Raw genomic sequence first — 22,814 nt, 5'->3', positions numbered from 1 at the left:
AAACCCATCACCCTCTTGCAAGGCAGAGTGAAAACCCTAATTCTGAAGGCTCTGGAGCTACCTAAGTGAGAGGAATGGGTTCAGAACCCAAAGATGGATGAAGATAGAAAGCAAAGGTTGACAGCTGTTTTGAAGTTGACTGGTCAGGCTTGTGGCCTTAAAGTGCCTCTTGCTTTGCAAGAAATAAAGCGTGTTGGTGGGTTCCTGATGGCCTCAGTGGCCCTGCTCCAAGATGGGCATTCTGCAAACGTCTTTTGCAGAATGAGATTAGGAAAAACCATCTCCAGAAACCATGGGGAAGGGGAAAGAAGGAGGCTCTAGTGAGGAGGGTACTGTAGACACTTGTAAAGAAAAACGCACAGGATTTAAAGGCAGAAAATTTTCTTTTGTCTCCAACTCTACCACTTGCTGCTTAGGGACACCGAAAAGGTTCATTTCACCTCTCCAGGTCTCAGTTTCTTCATCTGTCAAATGAGATTGTTTCGAGGATTACACAGGGGAATGCATACGGTATAGTCTACAGAACAGACATACAGTAAGCAGTTAATGTTAGCTATTATTATGGTGACCAATTTCATTTAGAGAGCAACTGTTAAGTGTTTACTATGCATAAGGCAGTGTAGATGCCAAGTGAGTAAGCACAGTCTCAACTTTTAATGCATTAATGGTCTAGTGGGGGACAGAGGCAGTTGCCTGTGGGGCCCTAGAGTGTGAAGTCCAGGACAGGCTGTAGAATTCTAAGACTTACGGGGCTCCCTGGTAGGTAAACAGAGGGCTACCACTGGAGCAAAACAGACTTCCACAGTCACTTTAAGCATACTAGCCAGACTAAAGAAGACAATCCAAGAAAGTCTGGTCTTAGCTCCCCTACACCACAATGTCCTCATCCATAAAAGAACAACTGTTCTATTGTCGGTGCAAACATTTCAGTAAAACAATGCACATAGCAATGGCTCCATTAACGTCAATTACCTTAATATTATGAGGAACCCAAGCTTTGGAACCATATATTAATAATTTTTCATTCCAACCCCTACCGCGAACCTGTACTGTACTTGCAAACTGTCCGACCTTGGGCATGTAGCTTAAATTCACTAAGTACGGCCAGGTGTGGTGGCTCACGCCTGTAATCCCAGAACTTTGAGGGGCCAAGCTGGGTGGATCACCTAAGGTCAGAAGTTTGAGACCAACCTGGACAACATGATGAAACCCCGTCTCTAGTAAAAATACAAAAAATTAGCCAGGCGTGGTGGTGGGCGCCTGTAATCCCAGCTACTTGGGAGGCTGAGGCTGGAGAATCACTTGAATCCAGAAGGCAGAGGTTGCAGTGAGCCGAGATCACGCCATTGCACTCCAGCCTGGGCAACAAGAGTGAAACTCCATCTCAAAAAAAAAAAAAAAAAATTCACTAAGTATCACGTAATTTTCCAGGAAATGGGAGTGATTATCCTTACTTGCAGAGTTGCTGTGAAGATGAGAAATATTCCATGTCGTGTGACTGGAACATCCTAGACTCTCAGTAAAAGACAGCTAATAGCACAGTGCTTGGCCGGGCCAACCTGCAGGGAGAAGTACCTCATATCAGATGGATGACACCAAAGAATCCCTCTGCTCTCCTGTGACCTGTGCTGCTCACCTGGGGGCCACTGCACAGGAATGATGGCAAAAGGTGAGAACTCAGCTCTAGGCACGGCTGATTGGATAGGGACAGGAGAGGAGTGATCGCCCAGCCAGGAGCTGCACCAGCCACAGGGCCCTCTGTTGCACGCACGGCCACCTCCATGCAGCCTCGCCAGGGGACCAGCTCTGGTTCAATGCAAAGGCAACACCTCTGCCTCCAGGGGCCATATCAACTGTTTACAGATGGAAGTTCTCCCTGGCACGGAATCTCAGTCCTTTCTGCTGCAGCAAACTCTTGAGTGGGACAAGAAGGCAGGAGTGTCCTGTTCACAGGCAAAACCCATGTGGTCTCCCACTATAGCAATAACAGAAGCTGATACCTATGCTCACCATGTGCCAGGAGCTATGCCGAGCAGCCTTCTTAAGGAGGTATATTACCATTGTACCCATTTGCCAGATGAGTAAACTGGGGGACAGAGAGAAATTGAGTAACTTGCTGCAGCTTATGCAGACAGTAAGCAGAGACTCAGGTTTCAAATATAGTCATCTGACTTTGAAGGCCCTGCCCCCTCACCACCAGGCCATGCAGGGACACTGTCCCTGGGACCCATGATACAAGGAAATTACCCTCATTGATGGCCATGGCTGCTCCCATGCCGAAAGGCAGCAGATGCCCACCTGGAAATTCTGGGATTTTAAGAGGCTCCCTGCCTGGAGAGATCCAACCAGACTGCACTTGCCCCTGCAGGATCCTGGCCCTCCCCATTCCTCCTTCAGGACCTTCCCCACAACATCCCCCAGGCCCTTTTAGGAGCTGGCTCCTGAGTCACTGCAGAAGGAAGACTGCCTCGACCACCTCCTTCCCCGCATCTCCAGGCCAGCCCTGTAGGAAAGGCTTCCTGGCTGAGGACACTAAAATGTTTCAAACGCCTCACAAGCCCCTCCCAGGCAGGGAATTAAAACGAAAAGACAGAGAGGGAGGAGGAGCCATCTGAGAACTGAGTCTTCTGCCCAAACACTGTGCCAGTCTTACACATCCTGAGGGCTGGAGCCCAACAAGTTGCAACTCACCCAGGGTTCTTCCCTCCAGCTGCGTCCACTAATTATAAGGGAAAAGTTGAAAGGAAGGTTTCAAACTTTTCGTGATAGTGCAGTTTTCTCTTTTGCTCTTCTTTCTCTCTCCTCCAGTCTCCTTTTCCCATTCCCTCTCCTTCTCTTCTCCTCTTCTGGTTCCTGGCGACAGGCTCCCCCAGACAAGTGCAGGAAAGGACTGTGCGCATAGAGCACAGAATGGTGTACTGCAAGGTCCTTCCAGAGGTCATGGAACTGAATCTCTGCCTCCTTACACAAAACCATTGCTCACCCCTTAGCACCCTTGAGAAGCAGGTGAACAAGTGACTGGGACCTCTCCCTCTCATAACAGTCTTTAAAAGTTTACTTTAAAGTCTTTACAGTTTATTTCTCACTGTACCAAAAAAAAAATGCATATCCATAAAGATTCAAAGAAGACTCTTCAGATCATCCACTGTCGCAGAACACAAGACAACACACTATCAATGTTTTAATGTACAGTAAACTCTTGACATTCCCAAGGATTATATCTCAAGATCTTCATGAATCCCCAAATTTAAGAAAATGGGAATATCAGAGACAAACCCGAGAGCCTTTACGAAGAGGTTCTTAACTCTAAGTCTGATCTACATCAGCATAGGCTTAAGGAAGGGATGTCCTAGTTTGAGGCTGAGTTATGGGTGAAGTGCCACCCACTTTACAGATGAGGAAACTGAGGCTAAAGGGGTATATGGTTTTGTCTGTGACCCTGAGCTAAATGAGAGTTCAAGGTGTGGCAAAAAGAAGAAAAATGCCTTGGCAGGGTCAGCAGGGGACTGGTTGGTGCCTGCACTGGCCAATAAATTGGAGGGACAGGGAAAACAGCAGAAATCCTGCCCTCCCATGTGCACTAACACGTTGAGTCCTCCCATTTGACCAGACCCAGCTTTTCCAGGAGCTGGAGTCAGGCACATTGTCTGGGTTTAGAGAATGAGATACTGGTGGGCTGAACAGCCTGCCCTGGCCCAGGAGGCCCCTCACTCACTGCGGTAAAGTGTGGGCTTCCAGGCATTAGAGCTGGGACCCAAATGTCTCCCAAGAAGGTAGCCAAGAAGCCAAGGAGCAGACGTTTACCCTGGATGCCACAGGAACCACTTGGTTCCAGAGGACTCGTCCTACCAGGCAAACAGGAGAGCTTGCCAGAGCTGGAAACCTGGAACCAGCTTGCTTCCTCACCTCTGTCCCACACTTAACACTATTTAATATTGGTCAAGTCTTCTGACAAACTAGCATCAAACAGTGGCAAATCTGTCCTGAACAAAAAGATTCAGACATCCCAGCCTGGCAATGGCACTTACACTGCTATTCCAGGGCAACCAGAGTGCTCCGGGCAATCTCTTTTTTTCTTTTTTTTTAAGACAGTCTCACTGTGTCACCAGGCTGTAGTACAGTGGCACAATCTCAGCTCACTGCGACCTCCGCCTCCCGGGTTCAAGCGATTCTCCTGCCTCAGCCTTCCAAGTAGCTGGGACTACAAGCGCGCAACACCAAGCCCAGCTGATTTTTGTATTTTTAGTAGAGATGGGGTTTCACTGTGTTGACCAGGATGATCTCGATCTCTTGACCTCGTGATCCGCCCACCTCGGCCTCCCAAAATGCTGGGATTACAGGCATGAGCCACTGCTCCCGGCCTGGGCAATCTTTTTGGAGTTTGTTGCAACCTGTGATGCCTGGCTCCAGGATCGAGCCAGGGGCTAACAGCCCTCACCTGCCACTCCCTTTGCACAGCCCGGAGCCAGCTGTGTGGAGTCTGCCATTCCTAGACCGGCAGAGGACTGATTCAACTCCTGCCAGAGTTCCCTGAGTCCTAGCCCCAAGCTTTTTCTCGCCGCGCCCACAAAGCCCTTGCTGGATACCCCTCTCTCATGCACTCAAACCTCTCTAAGATTTATTTTTCCCCACCACGCCTAAGCTCTTAGGGCTTCTGGCTTCATATTTTATCTCCTTGGTGGCTCGCCAGAGAGAAGAAAGAGGAGTGCAGGACAGCGATCTGAAATAATGACAGAAAGAAAGGGGGAAGATCACATATGACTCTAAGACTCCCAGCTAGCTCCTTCTTCCCAGTGACCTACTGGAGAAATTTAATTAAGAAGATCTATCGGTCAAGTTTCTGGAGGGCCTCTGGAATTCTCCAAGGATCTCCAAGGACTTGAGAAATGTTTTGAAATAGAAAATTAACAATTACGGAATCATTCAAAAAACAAAACAAAACAAACACTGAAATGACCTCTGGCCTAGATATTTCTATTTGCCTTGGTACCCCAAATGTCCTACATGCAGATGTGCGTGCACACCAGCTCCACAAAAACCTGAAGATGCCAGGGACTGGGCCCACCCAAGTGGAGTTGCCAGAGTTAACAAATAAAAATATAGCACACTCAATTAAATTTGAATTTTAGACAAATAATTTTTGCGGGCATCTGTAATCCCAGCTACTCAGGAGGCTGAGGCAGGAGAATCACTTGAACTTAGGAGGCAGAGGTTGCAGTGAGCTGAGATCGTGCCACTGCACTCCAGCCTGGGCAAAAAGAACAGAACTCTGTCTCAAATAATAATAATAATAATGTTTAATATAAATGTGTCTACTATGGAGTGGGACACATTTTTACTGCAATTTATTAGTTGTTTATCTGAAATTCAAATTTAACTGGACTCCCTAGATTTTATCAGGCTTCCCTAACCCTCAGGCCTCTGCCTCTAGGTTCTCCACAGAGGTACTCTCACCTAGGCCCACATAAACATTCTGTCCACTAATGTGAACCTCGATCCATTGTGAATTCTCCCTATTTGCATGTAGTCATCTAAAATATTACCCAGGGCTGGGGGGCTGGGGAGTAGTGCATTTTTTTCATGCCTCTTACCACCTGCCTGACCCCTGATCTCACTCAGGAATGTCATCCATGAGTCGAAATCTAGTCATCTAATTTTGGAGGCCCTTCCCCCTCACCAGGCCACGCAGAGACACTGTCCCTGGGACCTGTGGTGCAAGGAAATTGCCCTCATTGATGGCCATGGCCCATGCAATGCTGAAAGGAAGGAGGTGCCCACCTGGAAATTCTGGGGTTTTAAAAGGCTCCCTACCTGGAGAGATCCAACCAGACTGCACTTGCCCTTGAGTACTAGGAGTACTCAAACTCACCAAATGTCAAAGACCTTTGGCATCTCGGAAGGTTCTTAGCTCACCCGTTCTAAATTCTCCCTCCACAGCAGTCCTGGGAGAGGAAGTTTGGGTTAAGAAAAAGGCTAAAAGTATTGGCTCGTGTAAAAAGTTTAATTTCCAGATGCTAGAGAAAATCAAAGAAGTGGCTTAGATTGCTTTTTCTGGTTTCTAAGGTAACATCACAGAGATGTCCAGGTCAGTGGGGGTGCTGTCATAGCAGCTCTCTTGCTAAAGGGCCAGAGGAGTGTTTTGTGCCTGTTATGAATGGTCCCGACCCTGTACTCCATAGAGACAGACCATGGCCCTGGAGCCAGGGTCTCAGGACCTCTCTTATTCTTTTCTTGGCACTCAGTCTGGAGAGCTGGGCATCCGCCAAGTGGGTGGGCTGTCTCTTCCAATAGAGAAGAGAAAAGATCTCCCGAGTCTCTGGTAGGACTCCTTGAAACATCTCCCTTGGGGCTTTTCCCTTGGTCGGCATGTGTGAACAAGACTCCCTCATGTTTCTGACTCACTCTGAAATGAGTTCTGCCCAGAGCTCGGGTCTCTAGCTGGCAGCTTGGCAATGAGCCTGGGATAGTGGGGAAAGGAGGCATTCTTCCCAGGTTTCCAAAGCTGACTTGCCTCAGAGATGCAAGCCCCCAGCCAGCCTTCTTCTAGGCTTCTATTTCCAGGTTGGGAGAATGGGTTCACTGAGCCAGCCAGATATTGTGGGAAGGAACAAAGAGATGATGTCTGTGAACGTATGGTGAATTCTCAAAAAAATAGGGCTGAGATCCAAAACATCAGGCATCTTGCAAAGGTAAGATATAGTTTAAAACTTTCAAAACAGATTTTATGTCTCCAGAATCTCTCCCTTGAGAAATTCAGAGTCTGATCTCTGGTCTCCTTGAAACCAATCAATTAAAAAAAAAATTGAGCTACAAGGCTTCCAAAGGAGCGGGGGCCGGGGGAAAGGCCAGGTGCAGTGGCTCACGCATATAATCCCAGCACGTTGGGAGGCCAAGGTGGGCAGATCACCTGAGGTCAGGAGTTCGAGACCAGCCTGGCCAACATGGCAAAACCCAGTCTCTACTAAAAATACAAAAATTAGCTGGGTGTGGTGGCAGGCGCCTGTAATCCCAGCTACTCAGGAGGCTGAGGCAGGAGAATCGCCTGAACCCAGGAGGCCAAGTTTGTATTGAACCGAGATCACACCATTGCACCACAGCCTGGGCAACAACAGCGAAACTCCATCTCAAAAAAGAAGAAGAACAATGAGAAGAAGAGTTCAAACTGCAGCAAGAGGAACATTGTTGGATGCTACAGGAGTTTCCTAAGCATGAAAGTTGTCTAGCTTGAAAACTGATGGAAGAATGAACTCCTGTCGTGCAGCACCTTGCAGAGTTGACATTCCATGAAGACACAGAATGCCCAAACCCTTCGAGGTGAGAGAAGAAGAGGACTTCTGTGACAGCCAAGCAGCACTCACAATCAGAAAATCCATGGCGGTGTTCTCATAAAGGCTCTTTGGGTTGCAAGGAACAGAAACCCCCTCCAACTAGTTCAAGGGAATAGAGGCGTGGTTGAAAAGGTACCAGGAATGTCATGGGAAAATGGGGAAGATGTCATGGGTCCCTGGAACGGGAGAACCAAAAGCCTTTGTGATCCAGGGCCATTGTCTCTTGATTCCATCCTCCTCGCCTGCTGCTATTTGTTCCTCTTATCCTTCTTCCAATATTCCATCCTCCTAAGGCTTCTCACCTCCCATGACTGCCCCTAACTGATCCTTCCTCCTGTGTGCCTTTCATTCTTTCATTTATGAAAGAGAGAATCGAATTGTCCCAGACTCACCCGTGGGTGGATTCCGATAGGATCAGGTGTCCTGCCTTGAGCAGTCACTGTGATGGAGCAGGAGGCGTTCAAAGCACTGAGGCTCGCTCCCTGTGAACAGAGGCAGGACAGGCAATTATCACTAGGCCTGGTACAGAAGGAAAGGGGAATACATTAAGAGGAGAAGCCAAGGCTATCTTAAAAAGAGAGAACACTCTTTGCTATCCACAGTGAATGTGAAGAGTTGGAACTTCAGGTCGAAAGCCCATTTACTTATTGAACAGTATGCTTAAGAAGGTTATGTATATTATCCTGTTTTGCATTCCCACCATTGTGGGTTAAATTATTTCCGTTTTACAAGTGAGGAGCACTGAAGCTCAAAATGGCACACACCAAGGTCACTCAGCTGAGGGAGGCATCGTGGTCCAACTCAGTTTTGTGTGACTCCCAGCTGGTATGTTTTCGGACAGAGTCAGACTCTGAACAAGGGTGTCCCTCTGAAACTTGAGTCAAATGAGATGCAGACAATTAAAGTCAAGCTACTCTCCAAATCACACTACATGAGGAGGAATGGGATGAGAGAGGAAGGCCAGGGGGAGGTAAATGGATTTTGCTTTCTGAGAAATAGGAAGGATGTAGGGGTAGAAAGATGGAAGATGTGTGGCCTGTCTGAGAACTCTGGGGGTGAGGCACGGGGTGGCAAAGAAAAATGAAATCCAAGGCCATAGAAAAGTACATACTTTAAAGGAGTGGGTTTTTCTGTTGTTGTTCTTTGTTCCTATACCAGAAGTGCCTATTAAAAAAAAAACAAAAAAAAAAAAACAAAAAAAAACAACAACAAAAAAAAACTCTGCTGTTGCTCCAGCAACGAACAGAGCCAGAGCCCTGCAAGGCCTTTGCCAGGTCAAGAGCTTTTTCTATTCCCGCTACCCCCAACATTTCTATTGTCAAGGAGGAAGAGCCGAGGCCGCCGAGACACACCACTCAGAAGACTCAGCAGAAACCCGGACCTTGCTTGAAATAGAAGGGAAGTTAAAGACAGGTATAGGGAAGTGGGTGGGGTGAGAGGGATACTACGGGCTCTGCCCAGTGATACCTGAAGACAGTGACTGAGGCAGAGACCAAAATCAAGCCCTGACGTGGATCTATATGGAAAGTAAAAGCACAGGGAACAGAGAAAAATGCTCAAAGCTAAAAGACACACACACACACACACTCCCAGAGACCCAGAAACAGACACACACACAAAGCGAGAAACACGGGCCAGAGAAAGAAAGGAGGGCTGCCTTGTTTATTCTCGTGAAAGACATCTGGATTTCTCAGTGAGGTCTCCACTTGGTCCTTCCCTCATTTTCCAGCTGGACTGGCTGGCGGAATGCTGGCTGCAGAGGTGCCGTTGAGTCAGCACCAGATCCTAGCTTAGTCCCGCTGCCCCTCTGCTCTGCCCTGTGCCAGACCACACAGCCTTCCGCCCCTTCCTGCCAAGCATGGCTCAGCTCCCTGTCCAGGTAACACACTTCAAAGGCACTGGGTTGAGATGGGGCAGGCTGGGCCAGCCTCAGGATGGGAGCAGTTTCCAAAAGGCCCCAGCCCAAACACTCCTCATCAATTTTCTAGAATGTCTTCCCTCCGCCACTCCCTGCCCCACTTCCCTGACACTTTGAATAACCCCTGGAAGTTAGAACTGGAGAACTCAGTTTTTCACTGGGGCTGTCAGCCTCTTCTGCACTGCGAGTCTGTGCAGTTTTAGTATTGTAGGGTTGGCCAGATGTCAGCCAGTGTCGAAGCACAGCCCTGTAATAACACAATCGGTATGTTCTTCCCTGAAGCTGGTCATGCTCTCTGGGAGAGTCAAAAAGACAAGGGGGTGCTTAAATGGCTAGGAAAAATAGGACATCTATTAAGGTGTGTGTACTATAGAGATGCCCCTGGGAGTGAATCTTAATCCCCAGCCCCCAGGCTGGTTGCCTGCATCTCTCTGAAGATAATACCTGTATGCGCTTTGTACTAACTGTATGTGTCCAGTCTTCCACAGAAAACCGTAAAGATCTCTGCAATCAGGAAACATACTCAACTTTGTGTTCCTGGTAACACAAAATAAAGCACAGTGCCTGGTGCTGAAGTACTCTCATGAAACATCAGCTGACTTGGGTTCATTTGCTGGTGGCTTCTTCTGACTTTTTAAAAATACAACAGAACTTTAGAACCATGAAAACAACTTAATGTTTCTTCCTCTTGTAAGTCCTTTCTCTCTTGTCAATTAGGTTCATGCTTGAGATCTAGCACTGATCCAAGGACTCAGAGCCTAAGGATGATGTATGACCCATATGTCATCTTGGACATGTAACTTAGCCTCTATAACAACATCCAGTAAAACTTTTTGCATTTATGGGAATAGTCTATATTTGCACTGTCCAATACAGTAGCCACTAGGCACATGTGGCTATAGAGCCCTTGAAATATAGGTTGCAGTGAGCCGAGATCACGCTGCTGCACTCCAGCCTGGGTGACAAAGCAAGACTCCATCTTATAAAAAAAAAATAAAATAAAAAGCAATGGATCTGAATAGACATCTCTCCAAAGAAGATATACAAATGGCCAATTAGTACATAGAAAGATGCTTAATATCATTAGTCATCAGGCAAATCAAAATGACAATGGATACCACTTTATACCCAGTAGGATGATTATAATCAAAGAGTCAGATAATAATAAGTGTTGACAAGACTGTGGACAATTGGGACTCTCATACATTGCCCCAGAGAATGGAAAAAGATGAAGCTACTTTGGAAAACAGCCAGTCATTTCCTCAAAAAGTTAAGCATAGAGTTACCATATGACCCAGCAATCTCAATTCTAGGTACATCACCCAAGAGAAATAAAAACATGTGTTCACACAAAAACTTGCATACAAGTGTTCATAGAAGCATTATTCTTAATAGCCAAAAACTAGAAACAACTAAAATGTCCATCGACTGATAAATCAATAAACAAACTATGGTATATCCATACCTTGGAATATTATTCAGCCATAAAAAAGAATGAAGTACTGATACATGCTGAAACATGGTTGAACCTTGAAACCATTATACTAAGTGAAAGAAGCCAGACACAAAAGACCACTTATTATATGATTCCATTTATATGAAACATCCAGAATAGGCAAATCTATAGACAGAAAGTAGATGAGTAGTTGCTTAGGGGTAGAGGATGTTGGGGAGATTATAGAGTAATAGCTAAATGGCTCAGGGTTTCTTTCAAGGTGGTAAAATATTTTTAAATTAATTGTGGTGATAGTTGCACAGCTCTATGAATATACTAAAAATCATTGAATTGTACACTTTAAATGGTTGAATTGTATGGTGTGTGAATAATTATATTTCAATAAAGCTGTTACTAAAAAGGTACCCCAGATTTCTCAACTAGCATTGATCCTGCTCACATTTCCCAATGGGCTTTAACGAGGCCGCATCTTTCTCTTCCTGTTGCTGTCGCAACGTATGGCTAAGAGAGACCAACCTTCTTATAGCCAATGCCTGTGGCAGAGCCCCATCCGTGTAAGTCTAGAAAAGAGATGGAAGCTTTACTCATGTTTCTTTGGGCCTGCTGGGTAATTGGACTTGGGTTAGGAGTTGGGGGCACTGGCCACTACCCCAGGAGTTCAGGGGGAAATTCGCTCTACAGTAGTTGGGTGCCTGCTCTGAATCAGGCCACCTGAGTCAACCTCCTCACTCCTGAGCTCACTGCAGTGCTGCCGGGGTGGTGGCAGGAGGTAGGGTAAGTAGTTCTTACTCTGGGGACAGGGACCACTCTGAGAATCTGAACCTTGGGCATAAATGGCCATCCTGCTAAACAGTGAGGCTGAAAGCATGGAGTTCCTAAGCATGCCCCACACCTCCCAGGAGCTGGTGGGAAAGGAGTGTGCTGAGGCGTGTGAGATCACCATGCTCCTGCCAGCCACCTCTCTCTGAAATCTGGTTGGAGAGATGGCTTGGCCAGCCCTGGAGCTGGGCAGCAACCTGCTCTAAGAGGAGACTCTCAGTCACCTGAGTCAGCCTTCTCATCCTGGAGCTCACTGCAGTGCTGCCCAGGTGGTGGCAGGAGGTAGGGTAAGGCAGGGATGCGGGCTCCCTGCCTCCTGCTTCCAAACCACCTCTCTTCTTTCCCATCCTGCATGCCAGGCACAGAGCTGGCAGAAGCAGGGTGAAGGCACTGAGGAGCAAGTTTGATCTGATTTCCAGGCCTCCATCTGCCTTAACCAATCTCTGCAATGCTGGCACTCTGTGATCAAGTTAAGCCACTACCAAGAAAACTCGAGAAGTATAACTGCACACTTCTCTGGGACTCAGGATAAGCAACTTCCTGGCAATCTCAAGAGTCTGCCATCCTACCCAGTTTATCCCAGCTGTTTCACACACTCATTTCTCTCCATAGGTTCCAGTCTCTTCCCACCTTGACATGATGACAAGCTCTTGACTTCCTTCACCATGGTCAAATCAAACAGGTGCCCTTCATCCCTCCTTCCTTCCTGGAATCACCTCTCTGCCTTCATTGCCTGCACAGAAACCAAGCCCCTCCACCCACACCAAAAAGTATCTATTCCAGCTGTCTTCCTATGTCCACTCCCTGCCTTCGCCTCTTGTCTCCCTTGTCACCAGCTTCTCCACTTCCCCCTCTATTTTGCAGAAAACCAGGGTTTTCCTAGGGCCATTGTACTAGTCAGAGTTCTCCAGAGAAGCAAAACCAATAGGATGGATGAATGGTTGGGTGGTTGGTTGGATGAATGGATGGATGGATGGATGGATGGATGGATTGCTAATACATAGATATACAGATACATAGAGAAATACATAGATACACAGATGAAAGGACATTTTTTTATTGGATTGGTTCATGCAATTATGGAGCCTAGGAAAGCCAATAGTGTAATTCAGTTTGAGTCCCAAGGCCTAAGAACAAGCGGAGCCTCTGGTGTAACTCCCAGTCCAAAGGCCTGAGAATTGGAGGGGATTGGGGGTGAGATTCAGGGGAACTTTGAACCAGGAGCTCTGATGTCCAAGGGCAGGAGAAAATGGATGTCCCAGCTCAGGAAAAGACAGAGCCAGTTCACCCAATCGTCCTTGCCTTTTTATTCTATTTGGGCCCTCAGTGAATTGGCTGATGCCAGCCCATGTTGGTAAGGGTGAATCTGCTTTACTCAGTTCTCTGACTGAAATGCTGGTCTGTTCCAGAAACACCCTCACAGACACACCCAGAAATAATGTTTTACCAGCTGTCTGGGTGTCCCTTAACCCAGTTAAGTTGACACATAAGTTAACCATCACAGTCATCAATCTAGCCACTACCTCTCTCTTCCCTCTTCCAAGAAAGATCTCTTAGACTGACTGCTTGGTCTGTACTGATGACTCCATGTGGTGGCTCTCATCGACTTCTACTCTCGGCAACCCACCACCCTTTCCCTTAATTCAGGCTTCAGTGGCAGTTCTTTATCATGCGAAACCAACCATGGCTTCCCCAGGCAGGCAGGTTGGCATGGTTAAGTGTGGAGACTGCCAGCTCAAACTTCCTGAGCTCGTAGCCCAACTCTTCTATCTAGTAGCTGTGTGGTCTTGGGCTTGTTTTTTAAGCCATTCAGTGCCTCCAGTCTCAATTATAAAGTAAGTTAATAAATGTGCTCTCCCTTATAAGGCTGTAGTGAAGATTAAGTAAAATAATGCATGTCAGGTGGCTCGCATGTAAGAAGGCTTCTATGAAAGTTGGCTAATGGTGTTATTATGGTGATTTTCTTCTTTCTCTTAGAGCATTCCTAGTTCAAGAAGGCAGAGACTGATGCCTCAGTTGCTCCTTTTATTTCCAGACTGTTCTTTCTCTGTTCCTCTTTTCCTCTCAAGCAATAACTCGGGCTCTTCTCCTAAGCTCAGACCAGGTGCTCTCTTCTGCCCAGTGATTCTCTGTGGGAGGTCATGTTCATATTGCCACAGTTTTGCGGATGATCCCTAGATAGGTACCACCAGCCTCACTTGTTCCAGTCCTGTGGGCTCCCCTATACTCAGGACGCTTCACCTGGATGTGCCCTCTCCACCCCCTTTTCTCCACCTCTTGCTTCACTGCTTTCTCTGCCCAGATCATCTGCCCCCAACCCCATCCTCTTGTATGTCCAGACTCTGGAACCTCACCTGCATCCTCCACTGACCCACTTTCCCCAAACACTCACTTCTATAGATCACCAAATTTTCTTCTCCAATAGAGAGAGGAATCACCCCCCTCCCTACTTACTAGTCAGGAAATGCAGGTGAGTGTTCAGGGTGTAAGAAGAAAGATGCCCCATAAACATAATACTGTGCCTGGACTGAAGGGCCATGTTTTCATTCTATTTTAAAATCCAGTCAATGGGAATGGGGGGAGCAGATGGAGCTGTGTATATGGGACAGGGTGGCCATGGAGTAATGGGAGAGCCATCTTTTGTGTCTGTTTGAAATTCTCTACAATGAAATGATTTGTGTTAATATAATTAAATAACCAGTCAAATCTTTGGGAATAAAGAAGGTGGGGGAGGGTGAGCCAATGCTGTTTTCAGAGACCCAAATGGTGACAACAGGCAAAAAGTGAATTGCAACTGTCCCCCTTAAACCCACATCTCCCAGTCCCCAGCCAGCCAGTATCCTTCCTGTTTCTTTCTAGGGCAGTGTGCATAGGTAACCTCTGTTTTACAGCTGTGAGAAAAAGGTAGGTAGGTGGATAAATACATATGTACACAGATGATGACAGTTAATCAGTAATGATTAGTGTGTCTGCAGTTTTCAGTCATTTCTGTTTTTGGGGAGTAGGAGATGGGGTCCAGAGACCACTCCAGAGAAGCTTAGCATATGACAGTTTATCTCAGGATTTCTAGAATACAGAGTGTTTTCTCCCTGTATTTCATATTCCGGGTTCTGCCTGAGTCCAAGATTTTACAACTCCCTATGTGTTTGCAGGCCAGAAACCATCTGATGCAGGTGACCAAATCTTTGGGGCCTTTACTGGTGGTGCCTCATTTAAACTTTGACTTTGAACCTCTAGGGTCAATATTGACCTCATTTATTTCTTCCCAGACTATTGAGTAGAATTAAGTCCCATTCATTCCAGACTCCCAGCCCTGGCCCATATCAACCCCTAGGAAATGCCCCAAGTGGACTCCAGCTCTCTCCAACACAGGCATCTCTCCCCACCCCCTACTCTCCCAGGCCCTTTCCCATCTGGTTGGGTTTCTAACTGGTTGCAGAGAGCAAGTGATTAGGGAGGATTTAGTAATTATCAACAAAGAAAATTAAAATTTGTTTGGTTTTATTTTTTTTGCCTTTAATACTTTAGCAACGTAAAAAAGATAACAAGAAAGAGAAGCTGGCTATTGAGTAATCAAAAGAAAAAATAGAAAGAGGAAAGGAGGAAAGAAATAGACTTCATTCATTTACTCACAAATATTTGAGCATCTACTATATGTCGGTTGCTCTTGTAGGCCCTGGGCAATGCAATGGTGAACACAGCCGTCAAACTGCCTGCTTTCATGGCACTTTTTTCTAGGCAAAATTAAGGCCTAGAAGGACTATGAGAAGAGAGATGCAGTTCTGAAAATTTTGTATATAAAAATATTCACAGAGGCCAGGTGTGGTGGCTCACACCCGTAATCCCAGCACTTTGGGAGGCCAAGGCAGGTGGATCATCTGAAGTCAGGAGTTCGAGACCAGCCTGGCCAACATGGTGAAGCCCTGTTTCTACTAAAATACAAAAATTAGCTGGGTGTGGTGGCAGGTGCCTGTAATCCCAGCTACTCAGGAGGCTGAGGCAGGAGAATCGCTTGAACCCGGGAGGTGGAGGTTGCAGTAAGCCAAGATCGTGTCATTGCACTCCAGCCTGGGTGACAAGAGGGAGACAGTCTCAAAAACAAAACAAAACAAAACAAAAAAACCAAAAGGTAATTTTAAAAGACATTGTGAATAATAATTACCACTTGAGTGTGTTACGGATTGAATTGTGTCCCCCAAAATTCATATGTTCAGTCTGAACCTCCAGTACCTCCAAATGTGCCCTTATTTGGAAATAGGGTCCTTGCACATGTAATTAGTTAAGATGAGGTCATACTGGAGTAGAGTGGACCCTTAATCCAAAATGGCTGGTGTCCTTCTAAAAAGGGAAAATTTGGACACAGATACACCACAGGGAGAAAACAATATGAAGATGGAAGTCTGCCACAAACTAACGACCTACTAGAAGCTGAGAGAGAAGCCTGGAATAGATTCTTCCAGAAGTGGTGCCTTCAGAGGGAGCACGGCCCTGTTGATAGCTTGATCTTGGACTTCTAGCCTCCAGGACTGTGAGACAACAAGTTTCTGTTGTTTAAGTCATTCCATTTGTAGTACTTTGTTAAGGCAGCTTTAGCAAACTAATATACTTTGTAGTAGGTGCTGTGCTAAGTGATTTACATAGATGATCTTATTTAGTCCTCACAACACCCCACTGATACGTACCATAATCCACTTTACAGAAGAATAAATTGAACCAGAAAAAGTTATGCAACTTGCTGAAGGATGAGCTGCTTTAATAAAAATAAACGTGATATTCAACATTTGGGTCTCAGAGAAACCCACCCTCCACATTTAATCTATGCCAATTGGGTAAATCCCACATCTCTGTCGACTCAGTCTTTTTTTTTTTTTTTTTTTTTTTTTTTTTGAGAGAGAGAGTTTCGCTGTTGTTGCCCAACCCGGAGTGCAGTAGCGCGCTCCCGGCTCACTGCAATCTCCACCTCCCAGGTTCAAGAGATTCTCCTGCCTCAGTCTCCTGAGTAGCTGGGATTTCAGGCACTTGCCACCACTCCTGGCTACTTTTTTGTATTTTTAGTAGAAACAGGGTTTCACCATTTAACCAGGCTGGTCTTGAACTCCTGACCTCAGAAGATCTACCTGCCTAGGCCTCCCAAAGCGTTGGGATAACAGGCATGAGCCACTGTGCCCAGCCTGGTCTTTCAATCCTTGCTTTAAATAGATGTTCTCTTGGTTGGCTTGAGGTTAAGATGTTTTTGTTCTCTGCTTGGTAATCGAATTGGTGCATTAACCTGTTGTAAGTCTACACAAGGCGAAGGACCTATTAAGTCATGATGTTTATGCTGTAAACAGTATCTCCTCCTTCCTCATTCACCAACAAATTGGTAGCCAACTCTCCTGGCCCCATGACATCTCTGTATGTAGCTTCCAATATACCCCCCATCACACATACACACATGAGCCATAATACTAGAGACTGTTCATGTTGTTTATATTTAAAGTGTGGTTTTGTCCAAGATTTGTCATTTGGTTGTGTGTAGATTTTTTGTCCCAGCTGGTCAAGTGTGTCTGGCCTAGAAAGGAGCTCTCAGAGGATAAGTCCTGAGTCTATTTAAAACCCAATAATTGCCTAGTTAAACTGAGTGACTTCACAGCCTTGCCAGCAGACCAAAAGTTGGAACAGAATCTCTGCAGACCAGCTTCCTGGAGTTCTAGTCAGCTCAAGAGTCTGTGAAACTGTGAACCCAGCTTTCGGTTCATGGTCAAGTGTCTGTGTTCCTTGTATTGATGAGGAGGTAACTCCTTGGGCCTGGACCAAAGAAGCAGTCACTGAATACCATTTATGCTCTCCTTGAGTACAGAGCCATCTTGGATGAGAGTGAAAAAGACAGTGAAGGAGTACACCAGTATTTCTCAAACTGGAGTGATCTAGAGATATATTCTATGCTAATTGTTTTGCAATATATGTGTGTATGTGTCATTTTGCTAATAATCTCGAAAATAAACATATTTTAGGTCATCTGGATGACCACCTAATTCAGCTCTAGAAGACTTTTTTCATTTTCTAAGGCATAGAAGCCAAGTAACACCACTTTCATTGTCATTTGCTGATGGGCTAAAGAGCAGAAGCAGACATGGTCCTGAGATAATGTGTGGAAGCTGAGTGAAGGCTGAGTGACATGGTGCCATGTTACAAAAAGTGAAGATTTGGCAGTACCATTTTGTTTTGTAAGTAATTTAAGGACTTTTCATGGGGAATCTTGATTATACTCAATTTTTGTATTTCAAGATGACTTTAAAACTAACCACTATGCAAGACATGACTCCACTGTTGTTTTTTTTTAAAAAAAAAAAAAAAGTAGTGGGAGAGTTAAATCATCAAACAAAATATCAAATGTGCATGCCAAGCTCAAAAAAACTTGCACTGTCACAGTTAAACCATAATCACAACATGAGTAGTGATTTATTTTCAGCAAAACATCAACCAAACACCAATCAACACACAAATTAATGTCGTCATTTTGCACTTTGTTGAGTTTGTAACTTTAGTTGGGTTTATTTACATATTAGTTGGATTTTACAGTGAGGTTAGCATACAGAGCATACACCTTAAAATGTTTGTACATATTTAAGTTACATTACAATTAACATATTTTAAGTCCAACAATAGGGCTCTATTGGAATTTTTGTAAAGAGTTTATAAGCTACATTTGCAATATACAGGATTGACCAGACTAGTATATGAAAGAACATAATAGAAACACATCAACATAGACATTACCAACAGTCCGGCAAAATGATGCAAAGATAAACTCAGGCGTTTAGGAAGATGTTGGAAGACGCTGGAATAATTCAGGGGTGGTAAATATTTTTCTTTCTTTTTGTTTTTTTAAGACAGGGTCAAACTCTGTCACCCAAGATGGAGTGCAGTGACGCAATCACGGCTCACTGCAGCCTTGACCTCCCTAGGCTTGGGTGATCATCCCACCCCAGCCTCCTGAGCAGCTGGGACTACAGGCGTGGGCTACCATGCCCAGCTAATTTTTGTATTTTTTGTAGAGACAGGGTTTTACCATGTTGCCTAGGCTGGTCTTGAACTCCTGGCCTCAGGTGATCTCCCCACCTCGGCTTCTCAAAGTGCTGAGATAATAGGCAAGAGCCACCACACTCAATGTTTTTCAGTTAAAAATAATGTATTAAGTGCCTTCTGTGCTAGAAACTATACTAAGGGCTCATGTCCAAAAGGTAAGGATAGGAGGAAAACCAAGATGAATAAAACCTGGGGCCCTTCAAGATCCTCAGTTTAATGGGGAAGATGGGACTACAGCAGGTAATATTGATTAAGCACTAACAAGATATACACGGACTGCCTCACTCAAGTCCCACGACAACCCTTTGAAGCAGACAATATTTTCCCCCTATTTTACTAAAGAAGACACAGAGGATTCCAGGGGCACTAGCAAGATGCACTTAGGAAATCACACACGAGAGTCAGCAAAATCTTCCAAAGTAGATGTGATTTCATCCAGGTTTTTAATGACAATTAGCAGCTCACCAGTTAGCAGTGAAGAAGAAAAGTGTTCCTGTCAGAATGAAGAGTTTGTGCACAGGTGTGGAGGCATGGAAAAGCTTGATTTCTCTAAGGAAAGAAGGGCATAGGGGTTTAGATTGACCCAGCTGGGAACACGGCCAGAGGCAGCTGCTTTAAATGTTTCAGGACTATCCCTTAGCCCCAGTAACGGATCAAATCACGTCACTGGACCCATGCTTTCCACACTAGTAGAAAAGCAGTGTTTCCTGCTAGTTTAGATATGAAGTTTAGCTCTTCCAACCAGGGCCATTGCATAGAGCTGTGCAGATTGTGTACGACACAGCAAGAACCCCGTTTAAGTGGTGCTATTCACAGAGCAGACACAGACAGGTACATTCATTATGACAATTTCCTGGAAGAGGCAGTAAAGTTTCCTGTCCTAACAGAATCTGTATTTTATAACAATATTCTGATGAATAGAAGTAAAGTATCTTGAGGAAGGTCATCTTTTCCTAATTTACACAAATTTACCCTCTGCACTAACAGTGGTAAGCTAGCTCTTACCACTTCTCCCTCCCAAACTGTGTGAAATCTCAGTTGCTAACCATGCACTGTGATTTTACTTGGCCTTTTCACGGTTCATATGAATCATATTAAACCTGCTTCAAGTAGTTAACACTCTCTCTCTCTCTCTCCTCTTTTTCCATGTGATTCCATTTTTTCTACCTACCCTATCTCTCTCCCACCTAGATCTGGTGCTACCAACACTGTCTCTAAGTCACAACAGATCACTTTTCCTGGTTAATCTCATTTTCCAAAATTGAAACAGCTTCTGAGCGGTCCATTGTAGGAACATGCCAGATCCCATGATCCAAGAAGACAGAAGGGCTCCAACCAGAAACAGTATTTATGGAGCCTGCCCTGCTCTGCCCTATCTGTCTGGAACTGCTCCAGAAGCCTCCTTAACATCAATTCGTGCAGCTATTAACTTATATGCGGCTCACATCGGGATATAAATCACTCTGCGTCACAGCTGGCTCCGGCTCCTTTAACAGCCAGCCTCAGGGTCAATTTAGACTCTAGTTAAATTGCCACCACTGCAAGCACCACTACAAAATTAACTCTAAAGTAGCACATGGTTTTACCCTCAAAAATCACTATAATTCTGTTCTATGAGAAACTACACATAAAACCTAGAAAAATATTGTGCAGAAAGGATACAGAGCTATTTCAGGACACTGACTACCTCTGTCCAGGGAAGAGGATGCGGGGATGGCATGCATGGGAGGTGAGCTGTTATCTGTCCCACTCTACTTCTCTTTTAACAAAATCTTCAGCTGGGCGCGGTGGCTCATGACTGTAATCCCAGCACTTTGGGGGGCCAAGGTGGGTGGATCACAAGGTCAGGATTTCAAGACCAGCCTGGCCAACATGGTGAAACCCTGTCTGTACTAAAAATACAAAAATTAGCCAAGCACAGTGGTGCGCACCTGTAGTCCCAACTACTAGGGATGTTGAGGCAGAAGAATCGCTTGAACCTGGGAGGTGGAGGTAGCAGTGAACCAAGACCGTGCCACTGCACTCCAGCCTGGGAGACAGAGCAAGACTCCATCTCAAAAATAAAAAAAAATAAAAATCTTCAACAACAACGGCAAAAAGTGAACATGTGTCAAATAAGTGTAGGGAGTGGAGGGCACATGCTCTATTATCTTCTGTTCTTTGAATGTTTGAAATGTGCCATAATTACCTTTTTTTAATTTAACAGGGGGAATTTTTATGAATTGTGGCTGAAGATCACTTCTGATTATTCCTCAGAGAAGGTTTAGGACACCCTTTGATGAACCCAAAGTCATCAAGTTCCTACCCTGGCCATACCTTTTCTCCAAAGAAAAGTAATCATGAACACAGCATCTGGTGGGACACAGAGGGTTTTGCACCTCAGGCTGGCCTGGTGCTATTGGGGCAACAGTGCAGTGCCGATGCTGGGGTGGCCTATAAGTGGACCCACAGGGTGTCCGTACCTGTCCTTCCATCCATGCTTTTTCTTCTCCCGTTGCCCCATCCCCATTGTTAAACACCTCTACCAGTATCTGCTTCTTTCCCTTCGTGAAAGGAGGCGTGTTTCTAATGATGTATCTATCCTGCCACCTAGCCTTCAGCAATATCACTACAACAAAGTTGCCTCATGCTGCTCTTTAACACAGACTTCAGTCTTGCTGAACCTCCCAGAGCTAGGGAAGGACCTGAACAAGGGGGCACTTTCTTTATTGAACATCACTGTACCTTAGTTTGGGACCAGGACAACATGGCCGCAGCATTAGTATTCTTGATGTGTGTTGGCCTCTGGGAGAGACTGAAGTCAATGTCATGAGGTCTTTAAAAATTGAATAAATTATATAAATAAGCCTGTCTGAGAGTGGTGAGAGTGACACAGAAAAGAGAATGAAGACAAGATCCTTAGCTAACATTTTTCCATTCTAACCAGTAGAATCCACAATACTTTGTGTCCTACTAAAAAGTCTAGCTTTCCCAAACTGTGTTATCAGGCATCATCCTTGAAAATCACTTAGAAACTCACAGGAAATGACCACAGGCAAGGCATCCGAAGCTTTATAAAATAAAAACACTATCTATCCTTTGAAAAGTTATCCAGATAAAAGATCATAAATCTTTCACTCCGCTGCATTTCTTGAAAGCTGGCTTTGATAAGCAGTTAATCTTTTAAAGGAAAGAGGAGGAGTGATCTCCGGGGAAACGGGACACAAGTGGTTGATATTTAAATACTACTTCCCCGAAAAAGATGCAGTTGACAGGTATAGAAGCTAGTCTATGCCAGAGTTGGGAAGCCCATGACAGCGAAAGCAAGCCGGCAGCACAGGGGGGTCTCTAGGAAGGGAACATTTGTATCTGGCAGGAATTAATGATCCCCTCCCAATTACCCTGGTTGATGCAAACTATTTTTTTTTTCTACAAGCAATTTTCTAAAGGTGATTGTGAACAGATCTAGACCTCCAGAATGGAGGGAAGGGGAAAATGGAATCAAGTAAGGCTCATAGGCATCCTCCATAATCCCGTATCCTGCAGTAACAACACCAACACCTTCCCACTCCATTGTCATATGTTAATTATGGACTCAGAAACAACACCCATCTGGCCAGTCCTCCATCTTTGGATGAAATTACTATAGACAATCCCAGGCTACTGAGAATTCTTCTTTCTCTCATGCCCTCTCGGGAAGCCTATCCCAGGGTCTCTTGGACAACAGCTCCAGTGTCTGAATCCCTTATAACCTAAGCCCATTTCTAAGTGGAGATAAAGAATGGCTGCTTAGCACACCAACACAGCACATGTATACATATGTAACAAACCTGCACATTGTGCACATGTACCCTAGAACTTAAAGTATTAAAAAAAAAAAAAAAGAATAGCTGCTTAACATTTACAGTCTTGCAGAGTAACCTCTCTCCATGGCCCCTGTACTGCTCTGCCCCAGGGTCCGGCTCCCACCACATTCTCCTCCCCCCTTCTCTCTACCCTTTTTATCTTTTCTGTGAATGATCCCCCCTCCTTTTACCTGTCTTCACATATTGTATTATCCAGCCATTGGAAGTCGGCTACACAAAAAGAGGTGTCACTAGAGGCCATCTCTCTCAGAATACAGGGTGACTGGAACGAGGCAACTCATGTTTCTTTGGAAGGAGTACCACAATTTCCCCCAATCATCTTAAAAGCTACCAGTGTGCCTGAGGCAGGCTGAGCTGCTAAGGGTGTGCAGAAAGAAATA

At 45.3% G+C, this 22,814-nt stretch overlaps 1 long non-coding RNA gene across 2 annotated transcripts in view, besides 1 other annotated feature; it reads right to left on the bottom strand.

Moving 5' to 3' along the window:
- IGFBP-AS1 (IGFBP5 antisense RNA 1) overlaps nt 1-22,814 on the bottom strand; it is a 116,628-nt gene that overhangs the window by 90,884 nt on the left and 2,930 nt on the right. For both annotated transcript variants that reach the window (NR_187138.1, NR_187139.1), the window contains exon 2: nt 7,721-7,810. This is a non-coding gene — a long non-coding RNA (IGFBP5 antisense RNA 1). The remainder of the gene's footprint in view (nt 1-7,720; nt 7,811-22,814) is intronic.
- Nucleotides 21,185-21,264: a silencer, noted in NCBI's record as "silent region_12306". NCBI's record gives its function as "represses an Ori minimal core promoter by ATAC-STARR-seq in GM12878 lymphoblastoid cells {active_cell/tissue: GM12878}" and the evidence as "EXISTENCE:reporter gene assay evidence [ECO:0000049][PMID:35858748]".

Source organism: Homo sapiens, chromosome 2 (assembly GCF_000001405.40).
Source record: "Homo sapiens chromosome 2, GRCh38.p14 Primary Assembly".
Lineage (NCBI taxonomy): Eukaryota > Metazoa > Chordata > Mammalia > Primates > Hominidae > Homo > Homo sapiens.
Note: the sequence above shows the minus strand (reverse complement) of the source record. Positions and strands in the feature narration are given on the sequence as shown.